The 17,176-nt window shown below is 40.3% G+C and overlaps 2 protein-coding genes across 2 annotated transcripts in view; both read right to left on the bottom strand.

Moving 5' to 3' along the window:
• The window catches only part of TBCEL-TECTA (TBCEL-TECTA readthrough), a 167,389-nt gene that overhangs the window by 5,003 nt on the left and 145,210 nt on the right, over positions 1 to 17,176 (bottom strand). The gene's annotated exons all lie outside the window — the stretch shown is intronic.
• Positions 1 to 17,176, bottom strand: part of TECTA (tectorin alpha) — a 90,248-nt gene that overhangs the window by 5,003 nt on the left and 68,069 nt on the right. The gene's annotated exons all lie outside the window — the stretch shown is intronic.

The following is a 17,176-nucleotide window of genomic DNA, read 5'->3' as shown; positions in this document are numbered from 1 at the left end:
CTTGACATTTAGGTATCAGAAAAACTGAAGGAAAGGGCATAGAGAGGCAGGAATGGCTATCTGGCTGGCTTTCTTAGAGTGAGCACAGACGCCAAGCACTAGAATCTTCTATTAACAATGAAACACCTGCCCTTTCCTCTGTCTAGCACCTGAAGAGACAAGAGAAGTGGCCTGCATGTCCCCAGACTTACAAGCCACTTGTAGAAGTTGCTGCTGTCTCTGCCCTCCACACAGCTGGAGAGAAACAACTGACCCCAAAATACTTTAGTGGACCCATTTTGCAGCTCATTCATTAAGCATTGAACATCTGCTTTCCCTACTCATTCATTAAGCATTGAACATCTGCTTTCCCTACTCATTAAGCATTGAACATCTTCTTTCCCTACTCATTCATTAAGCATTGAACATCTGCTTTCCCTACTCATTCATTAAGCACTGAACATCTGCTTTCCCTACTCATTCATTAAGCATTGAACATCTGCTTTCCCTACTCATTCATTAAGCATTCAACATCTGCTTTCCCTACTCATTCATTAAGAGCATTGAACATCTGCTTTCCTTACTCATTCATTAAGCATTGAACATCTGCTTTCCCTACTCATTCATTAAGCATTGAACATCTGCTTTCCCTACTCATTCATTAAGCATTGAACATCTGCTTTCCCTACTCATTCATTAAGCATTGAACATCTGCTTTCCCTACTCATTCATTAAGCATTGAACATCTGCTTTCCCTACTCATTCATTAAGCATTGAACATCTGCTTTCCCTACTCATTCATTAAGCATTGAACATCTGCTTTCCCTACTCATTCATTAAGCATTGAACATCTGCTTTCCCTACTCATTCATTAAGCATTGAACATCTGCTTTCCCTACTCATTCATTAAGCATTCAACATCTGCTTTCCCTACTCATTCATTAAGCATTCAACATCTGCTTTCCCTACTCGTTCATTAAGCATTGAACATCTGCTTTCCCTACTCATTCATTAAGCATTCAACATCTGCTTTCCCTACTCATTCATTAAGCATTCAACATCTGCTTTCCCTACTCATTCATTAAGCATTGAACATCTGCTTTCCCTACTCATTCATTAAGCATTGAACATCTGCTTTCCCTACTCATTCATTAAGCATTGAACATCTGCTTTCCCTACTCACTCATTAAGCATTGAACATCTACTTTCCCTACTCATTCATTAAGCATTGAACATCTGGTTTCCCTAAATGCACTGGAAAAAAACAATAATCACATCCCTCCAAGAAAGGTTAGGAGGACTGATGGATTCACCTACATAAAGAAGTCACTTCCCACCCAACCACAGTTTAATTTGAAGACGTTTATTCAGACAGACACTGGGGTAAGCTGAGATTTATGAACATGCTCTCCGGCTCACTCTCCCTCTCTGGGTCAAGTCTATTAAATACCATTTTTAAAATGCTAAATGCTACCACATCCTTCAAAGGAGACATAAGCCCTATAATCTGGGTTTGCATTTGTAGAGTGTCTCATATCTTAACCCTTTTATGTTGCGAAAGGAATACAAAAAGAGGAGGAAGAAACATGGACAAAAGGATAATTGTGATGCTCACCCACTCATCTAGGCCTGCAGGACACCAAGTAGTCACCACGTCCCTCCCTTTCCCTTTGAGGAGGATAAACATCAATTCAGAAATACAAATACCTTAGTGAGGTCTTTGCTGAAAATTCCACAGTACACCTCAGCAACCCATGCCATTCACCACACCTGGTCACTTAGGGAGTCGGTGTGTCTTGAAACCTAAAAGGATTTCTTCTCTGCTCCTTGATAGTTGTGTGACCTTGAGTGAGCGCTGTGCCTAGCCTCTCTGAGCCTGTTTCATCTGCAAACTAGTGAATGTCTATTGTTTGTCTTCCCAGAACCACACCCTTCTTCTCTTGGAAAACCATGCCTCTTTCCCTCAACCATAAAGCTACTTACAGTATCCACAGCACTCTCTGACCACCACAGGGATGGGTGCTGACCAGGCCAGGCAAATGCAATGGTGCATAACCCTACCCACCAAATGAAGGATAAGCAAGTGGTCCAGGATAGGCCTGGGATTCCCTGCACTGGAGTTAGAAGTGCTCTCTCCTCATTGGTTACAATGCTATAAGAATGTGAGTCTAGGATTGCCAGTGTCTAACAAGGTCAATGAGAGAGAGAGACAAAGAGGAGGAGACAAGGGATAAAGCAAGAGGAGAGTGTTGATAGCATCTGGCTCCCTGGATCTAATCATCTCTGAAGTCACATCCACTCCTGTGATTTGGTGTTGTAACCATTAAATGCCTTGGTTTTTGCATAAACTAGTTTGAATGGGTCTCTACCACTTAGAATTGTGATTAATACATTCACCTGCTTTAAGAATTATTGTAGGCTGGCTGGCATGGTAGGTCACACCTGTAATCCTAGCACTTTGGGAGGCGAAGATGGGAGGATCACTTGAGCCTAAGAGTTCAAGACCAGCCTGAACAACACAGGGAGACCAAGTCTCTACGAAAAATAGAGAAAATTAGCTGGGCATGGTGGTGTGTGCCTGTAGTCCCAGCTACTCAGGAGGCTGAGGTGGGAGGATCACTTGAGCCCAGGACGTTGAGACTGCATTGAGCCATTATCATACAACCACACTCTAGCCTGGGCAATAGAGTGAGACTAAATTCATTCAATGAATGAAATTAAAAAATACAATCAAGAGCTTCAACAATATGCTAGATCAAACAGAATAAAGAATTATTTTTTTTGAGATGGAGTCTTGCTCTGTCGCCAGGCTGGAGTGCAGTGGTGAGATCTCAGCTCACTGCAACCTCTGCCTCCTGAGTTCAAGTGATTCTCCTGCCTCAAGTTGAATAGAGCATCAAAGAAAGAACACTGGAATTCAACAAAAGAGGGACAGAGGATCTCCGAGGCATGAAAATAAAGGGAAACAAAGCAGTTGGCCCTGCCAGGGTCAGCTTGGAGCCAGGAGAAACTTCCCAATATGGGAAAAGGTAATTGAGAGATCCCCAGTGGTCCATATTCCACTGCAGACTTTCGTAATGCTAGCCATGGGAGAGCCATTTGGGCCCTGAGACTAGTATAGGAAGCTACCCAGACTCCACATAACAGTATTGTTCCAGAGAAGGAGTTCACACTGAATCGCACACCCTCCAGCCCCTCAGACCCAAGCAGCTGCAGCATGGTGCCATGTTGCGAGCCCAGCCCCCGTCAGACTATATCTTGCCCTGGGGCCCAACATCCCCTGCTTCTTCACATCCCTGGAGCCCTGCTAACACCCACCCCTCATGCCTACTTAAAAGGATGCAGGTTCACAACACTGGCTGGACTCAGTGGTGCAGGTGGGTCCAAGCACTCTAACCCACACAGTGTCCTACACCCTGGGGAACAGGTGATGCAGTGCGCCAGGGAGGCTGTCCCCAGGAAAAAGGGGCTGACGCACAAGCTCCCCAGAACCCAAGAGCCACCTGCCTGCAGCTGCTGCCACTGTCAGCAACTCTGCCACTTCCCCAGCAGCAGGGCCACCAGACACCCATATACACCTTCAGGGGGCCTGAAGATCAGCCCACCAGGTGCTGTCATGGGGCCTGAGGACAGGCCTGCCCCACCCACCACCACTGGTGCCCATGTATCCTGTCGAGGGATCTGGGGTTTGACTCACCCACCAGTCACCACTGGCTCCCATACACATCTTCCAGGGGTCTAAGGACAGGCCTAACCAACGTGTTGCCACCACCACTGGCAACCAAGTGTGTCGTTGGGGGGATTTAGGGATCAACCTGCCCCATCCACTAACACCGATGGCTGCATGTACCATCAGGGGGGCCTGACAACAGACCTGCCCCACCCACTGCCAGTGCTCACATGCACCATCGGGGGCTTGGGGATCAGCCCACCCCTGTGCTCACACACATTATCAAGGGATCTGAAGATAGGCCTGCCCTGCTTGCCACTCCCAGCACCCATGCACATCATCTGGAGGCTTATGGATTGCCCTACCCTGTCCACCACTGCCAACGACTACATTTGCCTTTAAAATTTGCCTTTTGGGAAACTGAGGGCAGGCCCACCCAGCCTGCCACCACTGCCAGAACTCACCAATGTGCCACCTGAGGACCTGAGGACTGGCCCACCACCACCACCACTGGCACTCCCATGTGAAGCTCTGGGGCCTGAGAGTTGGCCCACTGCTGCTACTGCCATCACTGATGCCACACACACCACTTAGGGCCTGAGGACCCACCCACCTGGCCCACTGCTACCACTGACCAAGGATTGGCCCACCCAGACCTTCTACCATGAGTGCTTGTTAATGCCACCCAGGGGCCCAAAAGCTGGCATGCCTAGCCTGCTATCACCACCACTGGTACCCGAGGACTGGCCCATCTGGCATCCCTGTCCCCAGCAAAGCCTCACCATATCCTCCATTAATAGCCTAAGTCACTGACTAACTCACAGACATGACTGATGCTGATTACAGCTGAAGAAATCATATGGAGACCACACTGCTGTGTCCACTCAGAATCAAAGCCAAAGTCAAACCCAACCAACACTATAGATACATCTATAGGAAAAACTCTGTCCCTACAAAAGCCAATCCATAAAATTGGAGAAGCAACTATTATACCAGATGCACAGAAACAAACATAAAGACATAAGAATATAAAAAAGCAAGGACACAATAAGAACACAATAATTCTCCAGTGACTGGGCATGGTGGCTCACGCCTGTAATCCCAGCACTTTGTGAGGCCAAGGTGGGTGGATCACCTGAGGTTGTGAGTTTGAGATAGCTTGACCAACATGGAGAAACCTGTCTCTACTAAAAATACAAAAATTAGCTGGGCATGGTGGCACATTCCTATAATCCCAGCTACTCAGGAGGCTGAGGCAGGAGAATCACTTGAACCCGGGAGGCAGAGGTTGTGGTGAACTGAGATTGCGCCATTGCACTCCAGCATGGGCAACAAGAGCAAAACTCCATTTCAAAAAATAAAATCATAATAATAATAATAATAATAATTCTCCAGCAACACATTCCAACAAAAAAAGAAATCTATGAAATACCTGAGAAAGAATTCAATATAATGATATTAAAGAAGTTCAGTGAGATACAGGAAAACACAAATAAACAATACAAAGAAATCAGAAAAATAATTCATGATCTGAGTGAGAAATTCAACAAAGAGACAGATAAAAAGAACCAAACAGAAATTTTGGAACTGAAGAATTCAATGAATGAAATTAAAAAATACAATCAAGAGCTTCAACAATATGCTAGATCAAACAGAATAAAGAATTATTTTTTTTGAGACGGAGTCTTGCTCTGTCACCAGGCTGGAGTGCGGTGGTGAGATCTCAGCTCACTGCAACTTCTGCCTCCTGAGTTCAAGTGATTCTCCTGCCTCAGCCTCCCAAGTAGCTAGGACTACAGACACGCCACCAGACCTGGCTAATTTTTTGTATTTTTAGTAGAGACAGGGTTTCACTGTGTTAGCCAGGATGGTCTCAATCTCCTGACCTCATGATCCACCCGCTTCGGCCTCCTAAAGTGCTGGGACTACAGGTGTGAGCCACTGTGCCTGGCCAGAATAAAGAATTTTAAAACTTGAATACAGGTCTTTGAAATAACCTAGTCAGGCAAAAAAAAAAAAAAAAAAGGAATAAGAAAGAAAGAAGAAATCCTATGTTAAATATAAGACATCATAAAGTGACCAAATATACCAATTTGGGGAGTTCCAGAAGGGCAAAAGATGTCCAAAGGCATAGAAAACCTATTTAATGAAATAATAGCTGAAAACTTCCCAAGTCTTGCAAGAGATATAAACATCTACATATAGGAAGCTCAAAGATCCCAAATTGATTCAACCGAAAAATTGTCTTCTCCAAGGCATATTACACTCAAAGTGACAAAAGCCAAAGACAGAATTCTAAAAACAGTGAAAGAAAAGCATCAAGTTATATATAATAGAACCCCATCAGACCAACAGCAGATCTCTCAGCAGAACTCTTGTAGGATAGGAGAGAATGCAAGGATATATTCAAAGTGCTGAAATAAAAAAAACCTGCTAATCAAGAATACTATACCCAGCAAAGCTATCCTTCAAAAATGAAGAAAAATAGTATTTCCCAGACAAGCAAAAACTGAGGGAATTCACCACCAGGCCAGCCCTACAAGAACATTTAAGTGTGTCCTACATTTAGAAGTGAAGGGTTGATATATGACATAATAAAAACACACAAAAGTGTAAACTCAATGGCAGATCATATACACAAAACCGAAAGAGAAGGAGTCAAATGTTACTGCTACAGAAAGCCACCAAACTACAATAATAAATGATAAGAGAGAATGAAACAAAGGGTACACAAACAACCATAAAACAATAAACAAAATGACAGGAATAACTTCTCACTTATCAATAATAACCTTGAATATAAGCAGATTAAATTCCCCACTTAAAAGATACAGACTGGTTGAACAGCTAAAAAAAAAAAAAAACAAACAAACAAACAAAAAAAACTCAAATATATGCTGCCTACAAGAAACTCACTTCACCTGTAAAGACACACATAGACTGAAAGTAATGGGATGGAAAAAGATAATTTGTGACAATCAAAACCAAAAGCAAGCAGGAGTAGCTATATTTGTGTCAGATATAACAGACTTTAAGTCAAAGGCTGTAAAAAGAGACAAAGAAGATCATTACATAATGAAGAAAGGACAAATTCAGCAAGAGGATACAACAATTCTAAATATATATCCATCCAACATCACAGCACCCAAATATGTAAAGCAAATATTATTAGATCTAAAGGGAGAGATAAATTCCAAAGTAAAGAAAATTGGGGAATTTAACACCCTACTCTCAACATTGGAAAGAAAATCAACAAAAAAAATTTACTTAAATTGCACTTTAGACCAAATGGACTTAACAGGCATTTACAGAATATTTTACCCAACAGCTGCAGAATACACATTTTTCTCATTAGTACACAGAATATTTTCCAAGATAGACCGTATGTTAGGCCAAAAACCAAGTCCTGACAAATTTTTAAAAATTGAAATCATATCAACTATCTTCTCAGACCACAATGGAATAAAACTAGAAATCAATAATAAGAGAAATTTTGGACACTGAACAAATACTTAGAAATTAGGCCACATGCTCCTGAACAAGCACTGGGTCAATGAATAAATTAAGAAGGAGATTTAAAAAAAATTTTTAAAAACAAGTGAAAATGGAAACAGAACATACCAAAACATGTGAGATACAACAAAAAAGAGTGCTAAGAGGAAAATTTATTGCAATATACACCTACATCAAAAAAGTAGAAAATTAAATCCAAAATTAGTAGAAGGAAAAATATAATAAAGATTAGGCCAGAGCTAAATAAAGTAGAGATCAAAACAAGCAAAGAATCAATGAAATGTAAATTTGGTTTTTTAAAAGATAACAAAATGATAAAGCACCAGTTAGACTAACTTAAGGGGAAAAAAGAGAGAAAACCCAAGTAAAATCAGAAATAAAAAAGAAGATAATACTACTGATACCACAGAAATACAAAGAATCATTACAGACTGTTATGAACAACTATACACTTTGTAAAACCTACAGAAAATGGATAGATTCTTGGACACATACAACCTACCAAGGTTGAATCAGGAAGAAATAGAAAACCTGAACAGACCAATAACTAATAACAGGATTGAATCAGGAACAAAATGTCTCTCAGCAAAGTCCAGGACTAGTTGTCTTTACTGCTAAATTCTACCATACTTACAAAGAAGAACTAATACCAATGCTTCCTAAACTATTTCAAAAAAAACTGAAGATGAAGGAATTTGGGGATTCTTCCTAGCTCATTCTACAAGACTAGCATTACCCTGATATCAAAACTAGACCAGGACACCACACACACACACACACACACACACACACACACACACACACACACTAACTACAAGCCAATATCTAAACATAGATGCAAAAATCCTCAAGAAAATACTAGCAAACTGAATCTAACAACACATCAAAAAGATAATACGCCATGATCAAGCAGGATTTATTCCAGGGATGCAAGAATGTTTCAATATATACAAATCAATAAATGTCATATATCACATAAGAATGAACAATAGAACGGTTGGGAGCCAAGATGGCTGAATAGGAACAGCTCCAGTCTACAGCTCCCAGCGTGAGCGACGCAGAAGACGGGTGATTTCTGCATTTCCATCTGAGGTACTGGGTTCATCTCACTAGGGAGTGCCAGACAGTGGGCGCAGGACAGTGGGTGCAGTGCACCGTGCACGAGCCGAAGCAGGGCGAGGCATTGCCTCACTTGGGAAGCACAAGGGGTCAGGGAGTTCCCTTTCCTAGTCAAAGAAAGGGGTGACAGACGGCACCTGGAAAATCAGGTCACTCCCACCCCAATACTGCGCTTTTCCGACGGGCTTAAAAAACAGCGCATCAGGAGATTATATCCCACACCTGGCTCAGAGGGTCCTATGCCCACAGAGTCTCGCTGATTGGTAGCACAGCAGTCTGAGATCAAACTGCAAGGCGGCAGCAAGGCTGGGGGAGGGGCGCCCACCATTGCCCAGGCTTGCTTAGGTAAACAAAGCAGCCGGGAAGCTCGAACTGGGTGGAGCCCACCACAGCTCAAGGACGCCTGCCTGCCTCTGTAGGCTCCACCTCTGGGGGCAGGGCACAGACAAACAAAAAGACAGCAGTAACCACTGCAGACTTAAATGTCCCTGTCTGACATCTTTGAAGGGAGCAGTGGTTCTCCCAGCACGCAGCTGGAGATCTGAGAACAGGCAGACTGCCTCCTCAAGTGGGTCCCTGACCCCTGACCCCCGAGCAGCCTAACTGGGAGGCACCCTCCAGTAGGGGCAGACTGACACCTCACACGGCCGGGTACTCCTCTGAGACAAAACTTCCAGAGGAACGATCAGACAGCAGCATTTGTGGTTCACGAAAATCTGCTGTTCTGCAGCCACCACTGCTGGTACCCAGGCAAAGAGGGTCTGGAGTGGACCTCTAGCAAACTCCAATAGACCTGCAGCTGAGGGTCCTGTCTGTTAGAAGGAAAACTAACAAACAGAAAGGACATCCACACCAAAAACCCATCTGTACATCACCATCATCAAAGACCAAAAGTAGATAAAACCACAAAGATGGGGAAAAAACAGAGCAGAAAAACTGGAAACTCTAAAAAGCAGAGCGCCTCTCCTCCTCCAAAGGAATGCAGCTCCTCACCAGCAACGGAACAAAGCTGGACAGAGAATGACTTTGACGAGTTGAGAGAAGAAGGCTTCAGACAATCAAACTACTCCGAGCTACAGGAGGAAATTCAAACCAAAGGCAAAGAAGTTGAAAACTTTGAAAAAAATTTAGACGAATGTATAACTAGAATAACCAATACAGAGAAGTGTGTAAAGGAGCTGATGGAGCTGAAAGCCAAGGCTCAAGAACTACGTGAAGAATGCAGAAGCCTCAGGAGCTGATGTGATCAACTGGAAGTAAGGGTATCAGTGATGGAAGATGAAATGAATGAAATGAAGCAAGAAGGGAAGTTTAGAGAAAAAAGAAGAAAAAGAAATGAACAAAGCCTCCAAGAAATGTGGGACTATGTGAAAAGACCAAATCTATGTCTGATTGGTGTACCTGAAAGTGATGGGGAGAATGGAACCAAGTTGGAAAATACTCTGCAGGATATTATCCAGGAGAACTTCCCCAATCTAGCAAGGCAGGCCAACATTCAGATTCAGGAAATACAGAGAACGCCACAAAGATACTCCTCAAGAAGAGCAACTCCAAGACACATAATTGTCAGATTCACCAAAGTTGAAATGAAGGAAAAAATGTTAAGGGCAGCCAGAGAGAAAGGTCAGGTTACCCACAAAGGGAAGCCCATCAGACTAACAGCGGATCTCTTGGCAGAAACTCTACAAGCCAGAAGATATTTGACATTCTTAAAGAAAAGAATTTTCAACCCAGAATTTCATATCCAGCCAAACTAAGCTTCATAAGTGAAGGAGAAATAAAATACTTTACAGACAAGCAAATGCTGAGAGATTTTGTCACCACCAGGCCTGCCCTAAAAGAGCTCCTGAAGGAAGCACTAAACATGGAAAGGAACAACCGGTACCAGCCACTGCAAAAACATGCCAAATTGTAAAGACCATCGAGGCTAGGAAGAAACTGCATCAACTAACGAGCAAAATAACCAGCTAACATCATAATGACAGGATCAAATTCACACATAACAATATTAACTTTAAATGTAAATGGACTAAATACTCCAATTAAAAGACACAGACTGGCAAATTGGATAAAGAGTCAAGACCCATCAGTGTGCTGTATTCAGGAAACCCATCTCACATGCAGAGACACACATAGGCTCAAAATAAAAGGATGGAGGAAGATCTACCAAGCAAATGGAAAAAAAAAAGGCAGGGGTTGCAATCCTAGTCTCTGATAAAACAGACTTTAAACCAACAAAGATCAAAAGAGACAAAGAAGGCCATTACATAATGGTAAAGGGATCAATTCAACAAGAAGAGCTAACTATCCTAAATACATATGCACCCAACACAGGAGCACCCAGATTCATAAAGCAAGTCCTGAGTGACCTACAAAGAGACTTAGACTCCCACACAATAATAATGGGAGACTTTAACACCCCGTCAACATTAGACAGATCAACGAGACAGAAAGTTAACAAGGATACCTAGGAATTGAACTCAGCTCTGCTCCAAGCAGACCTAATAGACATCTACAGAACTCTCCGCCCCAAATCAACAGAATATACATTCTTTTCAGCACCACACCACACCTATTCCAAAATTGACCACATAGTTGGAAGTAAAGCTCTCCTCAGCAAATGTAAAAGAACAGAAATTATAACAAACTGTCTCTCAGACCACAATGCAATCAAACTAGAACTCAGGATTAAGAAACTCACTCAAAACCGCTCAATTACATGGAAACTGAACAACCTGCTCCTGAACGACTATGGGTACAAAACGAAATGAAGGCAGAAATAAAGATGTTCTTTGAAACCAACGAGAATAAAGACACAACATACCAGAATCTCTGGGACACACTCAAAGCAGTGTGTAGAGGGAAATTTATAGCACTAAATGCCCACAAGAGAAAGCAGGAAAGATCCAAAATTGACACCCTAACATCACAATTAAAAGAACTAGAAAAGCAAGAGCAAACACATTCAAAAGCTAGCAGAAGGCAAGAAATAACTAAAATCAGAGCAGAACTGAAGGAAATACAGACACAAAAAAACCCTTCAAAAAATTAATGAATCCAGGAGCTGGTTTTTTGAAAGGATCAACAAAATTGATAGACCGCTAGCAAGATTAATAAAGAAGAAAAGAGAGAAGAATCAAATAGACGCAATAAAAAATGATAAAGGGGATATCACCACCGATCCCACAGAAATACAAACTACCATCAGAGAATACTACAAACAGCTCTACGCAAATAAACTAGAAAATCTAGGAGAAATGGATAAATTCCTCGACACATACACCCTCCCAAGACTAAATCAGGAAGAAGTTGGATCTCTGAACAGATCAGTAACAGGCTCTGAAATTGTGGAAATAATCAATAGCTTACCAACCAAAAAGAGTCCAGGACCAGATGGATTCACAGCCGAATTCTACCAGAGGTACAAGGAGGAACTGGTACCATTCCTTCTGAAACTATTCCAATCAATAGAAAAAGAGGGAATCCTCCCTAACTCATTTTATGAGGCCAGCATTATCCTGATACCAAAGCCAGGCAGAGACACAACCAAAAAAGAGAATTTTAGACCAATATCCTTGAAGAACATTGATGCAAAAATCCTCAATAAAATACTGGCAAACCAAATCCAGCAGCACATCAAAAAGCTTATCCACCATGATCAAGTGGGCTTCATCCCTGGGATGCAAGGCTGGTTCAATATACATAAATCAATAAATGTAATCCAGCATGTAAACAGAACGAAAGACAAAAATCACATGATTATCTCAATAGATGCAGAAAAGGCCTTTGACAAAATTCAACAACCCTTCATGCTAAAAACTCTCAATAAATTAGGTATTGATGGGACATATCTCAAAATAATAAGAGCTATCTATGACTAACCCACAGCCAATATCATACTGAATGGGCAAAAACTGGAAGCATTCCCTTTGAAAACGGGCACAAGACAGGGATGCCCTCTCTCACCACTCCTATTCAACATAGTGTTGGAAGTTCTGGCCAGGGCAATTAGGCAGGAGAAGGAAATAAAGGGTATTCAATTAGGAAAAGAGGAAGACAAATTGTCCCTGTTTGCAGATGACATGATTGTATATCTAGAAAACCCCATTGTCTCAGCCCAAAATCTCCTTAAGCTCATAAGCAACTTCAGCAAAGTCTCAGGATACAAAATCAATGTACAAAAATCATAAGCATTCTTATACACCAATAACAGACAAACAGAGAGCCAAATCATGAGTGAACTCCCATTCACAATTGCTTCAAAGAGAATAAAATACCTAGGAATCCAACTTACAAGGGACGTGAAGGACCTCTTCAAGGAGAACTACAAACCACTGCTCGATGAAATAAAAGAGGATACAAACAAATGGAAGAACATTTCATGCTCATGGGTAGGAAGAATCAATATCGTGAAAATGGCCATGCTGCCCAAGGTAATTTACAGATTCAATGCCACCCCCATCAAGCTACCAATGACTTTCTTCACAGAATTGGAAAAAACTACTTTAAAGTTCATATGGAACCAAAAAAGAGCCCACATCACCAAGTCAATCCTAAGCCAAAAGAACAAAGCTGGAGGCATCACGCTACCTGACTTCAAACTATACTACAAGGCTACAGTAACCAGAACAGCATGGTACTGGTACCAAAACAGAGATATAGATCAATGGAACAGAACAGAGCCCTCAGAAATAACGCCGCATATCTACAACTATCTGATCTTTGACAAACCTGAGAAAAACAAGCAATGGGGAAAGGATTCCCTATTTAATAAATGGTGCTGGGAAAACTGGCTAGCCATATGTAGAAAGCTGAAACTGGATCCCTTCCTTACACCTTATACAAAAATTAATTCAAGATGGATTAAAGACTTAAACATTAGACCTAAAACCATAAAAACCCTAGAAGAAAACCTAGGCTTTACCATTCAGGACATAGGCATGGGCAAGGACTTCATGTCTAAAACACCAAAAGCAATGGCAACAAAAACCAAAATTGACAAATGGGATCTAATTAAACTAAAGAGCTTCTGCACAGCAAAAGAAACTACCACCAGAGTGAACAGGCAACCTGCAAAATGGGAGAAAATTTTTGGAACCTACTCATCTGACAAAGGGCTAGTATCCAGAATCTACAATGAACTCAAACAAATTTACAAGAAAAAAACAAACAACCCCATCAAAAAGTGGGTGAAGGACATGAACAGACACTTCTCAAAAGAAGACATTTATGCAGCCAAAAAACACATGAAAAAATGCTCACCATCACTGGCCATCAGAGAAATGCAAATCAAAACCACAATGAGATACCATCTCACACCAGTTAGAATGGCAATCATTAAAAAGTCAGGAAACAACAGGTGCTGGAGAGGATGTGGAGAAATAGGAACACTTTTACACTGTTGGTGGGACTGTAAACTAGTTCAACCCTTGCAGAAGTCAGTGTGGCGATTCCTCAGGGATCTAGAACTAGAAATAGCATTTGACCCAGCCATCCCATTACTGGGTATATACCCAAAGGACTATAAATCATGCTGCTATAAAGACACATGCACATGTATGTTTATTGCGGCACTATTCACAATAGCAAAGACTTGGAACCAACCCAAATGTCCAACAATGATAGACTGGATTAAGAAAATGTGGCACATATACACCATGGGATACTATGTAGCCATGAAAAATGATGAGTTCATGTCCTTTGTAGGGACATGGATGAAATTGGAAATCATCATTCTCAGTAAACTATCACAAGAACAAAAAACCAAACACCGCATATTCTCACTCATAGGTGGGAACTGGACAATGAGAACACATGGACACAGGAAGGGGAACGTCACACTCTGGGGACTGTTGTGGGGTGGGGAGAGCGGGGAGGGATAGCTTTAGGAGATACACCTAATGCTAAATGACGAGTTAATGGGTGCAGCACACCAGCATGGCACATGTATACATATGTAACTAACCTGCACATTGTGCACATGTACCCTAAAACTTAAAGTATAATAATAATAAAATAAAATAAAAAAAGAATGAACAATAAAAACCATATGATTATCTGAATAGATGCACAAAAAGCATTTGATAAAATTCAATGTCCCTTTATGATAAAAATTCTCAAAAAATTAGGCACAGAAGGAACATGTCTCAACATAATGAAGGTCATATATGACAAACCCACAGATAATATCATACTGAACGGAGAAAAGCTGAAAGTACTGGAACAATTCCTGGGTGCTCACTCTCATCATTCCTATTAACATAGTACTAGAAGTCCTAGCCAGTTCAATCAAGCAAGAGAGAAAAATAAAAGACATCCAAACTGGGAAACAGAAAGTCAAACTGTCCCTTTGCAGATAACATGATCTTATATACAGAAAAACCTAAAGATTCAATCAAAAACTCTTAGAACAGATAAACAAATTCAGTAAAGTTGCAGGACATAAAAACAACATGCAAAAATCAGTAGCATTTTTATACACCAATAATGAACTAGCAGCAAAATAAATCAAGAAGGCAATCTCATTTATAATACCTACAAAAAAATGAGAAATCTAGGAATAAATTTAACCAAGTGAAAATCTCTACAAGGAAAATTACAAAACGCTGATGGAAGAAATTGAAGAGGACAAATGGAAAGGTATCTCATGCTTATGGATTGGGAGAATTAAAATTGTTAAGGTGACCATACTACTCACAAAAAACCCACAGATCAAATGCAATCCCTATCAATACACCAATGAAATTCTTCACAGAAATAGAAAAAAAATCCTAAAATTTGTATAAAGCCACAATAGACCCTGAATAGCCCAAGCAATACTCACTAAAAAGAACAAAGCTGGAGACATCACACTACCTGACTTTTAAGTATAGTGTGAAGCTATAGTAGCCAAAACAGCATGGTATTGTATAAAAACAGACACATAGAGCAGTGTAACAAAACAGAACTCAGAAATAAATCCATGTATTTACAGCCAACTGATTTTCAACAAAGATGTCAAGAACATACATTGGGGAAAGGATGCTCTCTTCAAAAACTGGTGCTGAGAAAACTGGATATCCATATGCAGAAGAATTAAATTATACCCCTGTGTCTCACCATAAACAAAAATCAACTCAAAGAGGATTAAAGATTTAAATGTGCAACCAGAAACTATAAAGCTACTAGAAGAAAACAAAGTGAACATGCTTCATCATTAGTTGAGGCAAATATTTTATGGGTAAGATTTCAAAAGCCCAAGCGACAAAGCAAAAATAGACAAATGGGACTATATTAAACTAAAAAGTCTCTACACAGCAAAGATATCAATCAACAAAATGAAGAGACAACCTGTTGAATAAAAGAAAATATTTGCAAACTATTCATCCAACAAGGGATTAGTATCCAGAATATGCAAGAAACTCAAACAACTCAACAGCAAGAAAACAAATAATTTCTTTAAAAACTGGGCAAAGGATTTACACAAATATTTCTCAAAAGAAGACATACAAATGGCCAACAGGTATATGAAAAAACAATTCTCAACATTACTAATCATCAGGGAAATAAAAATCAAAACCACAATGAGATATCATGTCATGCCAGTAAAAATGGCTACTATTAAAAAGACAAAAAGTAACAAATGCTAGTGAGGATATGGAGAAAGGGGAACTCTTCTACACTACTGGTGGGACTAGAAATGAGTACAGCCATTATGGGAAACACTACAGAGGTTTCACACGCACACACACATGCAAAACAAAACAAAGCAAAACAAAACAAAACCAAACAAAACAAAACAAAACAAAAAAACCCCACTAAAAATAGAACTCCCACATGATCCAGCAAGGCCACTACTGGGTATTTATCCAAAGGAAAGGAAATTAGTATATCAAAAGAATACCTACACTTCCATGTTTATTGCAGCACTATTCACAATAGCCAAGATATGGAATCAACCTAAGTATACATCAATGGATGAATGGATAAAGAAAATGTGATATATATACACAAGGGAATACTATTCAGCCTTAAAAAGAAATGAAATCCTATCATTTGCAACAACATGGTCAGAACTGGAAGTCATTATGTTAAGTGAAATAAGCCAGGCAGGGAAAGACAAATATCTCAGGTTCTCACTCACATGTGGGAGCTTAAAAAGTTGATTTCATGGAAGTACAGAGTAGACTGATAGTTACCAGAGGCTGGGAAAGAAGCTGGGATGAAGAGAGGTTGGTTAATGGCTACAAACGTGCATTTAGATAAAAGGAATAAGTTCTAGTGTTCAATAGCACAGTAGGGTGACTATAGTTAACAACAATTTATTGTATATTTCAAAATAGCCAGAAGACAAGATTTGAAATGCCCCACACAAAGGAAAGATACATATTCAAGGTGATAGATATCCTAAATTCCCTGATCTGAGCACTACACATTTAATGCATGTGTCAAAATATCACATCTATTCCATAAATATGTAAATGTATCAATACATTTTTAAAAGAAATTCATATAAATAGTAACTATTGGAGTGACAAAAATGTTCTAAAATTAGATTATGGTGATAATTGCAATTCTCTGCAAATTTACCAAAAACCATTGATTTTTACACTTAAAGCAAGTAAATTGTATTATAAATTATCTTTGCAATAAAGCTGTTAAAATGAATTGTTATAAAATCTATTGCAATAAATGTAAACTGTCTAATGTAACCAGAAAGTATTTTTGTTTTTAATAAAGATAATTATTGTGGTTGGTCTACAGTCTTTTCTTCTCATTCATTCATTCATTCATTCGAGAATTTTTGTTGTGTATCACTGTTTCAGGAAATATACTAAGTGGTAAGCATACAGTGGTGAGTAAACAGAAACTTGTTGAGTCTATAGGCTATTAGGTTAACTTCTTTTTTATTTTTAT

This window comes from Homo sapiens, chromosome 11, assembly GCF_000001405.40.
Source record: "Homo sapiens chromosome 11, GRCh38.p14 Primary Assembly".
NCBI classification, from domain to species: domain Eukaryota; kingdom Metazoa; phylum Chordata; class Mammalia; order Primates; family Hominidae; genus Homo; species Homo sapiens.
Note: the sequence above shows the minus strand (reverse complement) of the source record. Positions and strands in the feature narration are given on the sequence as shown.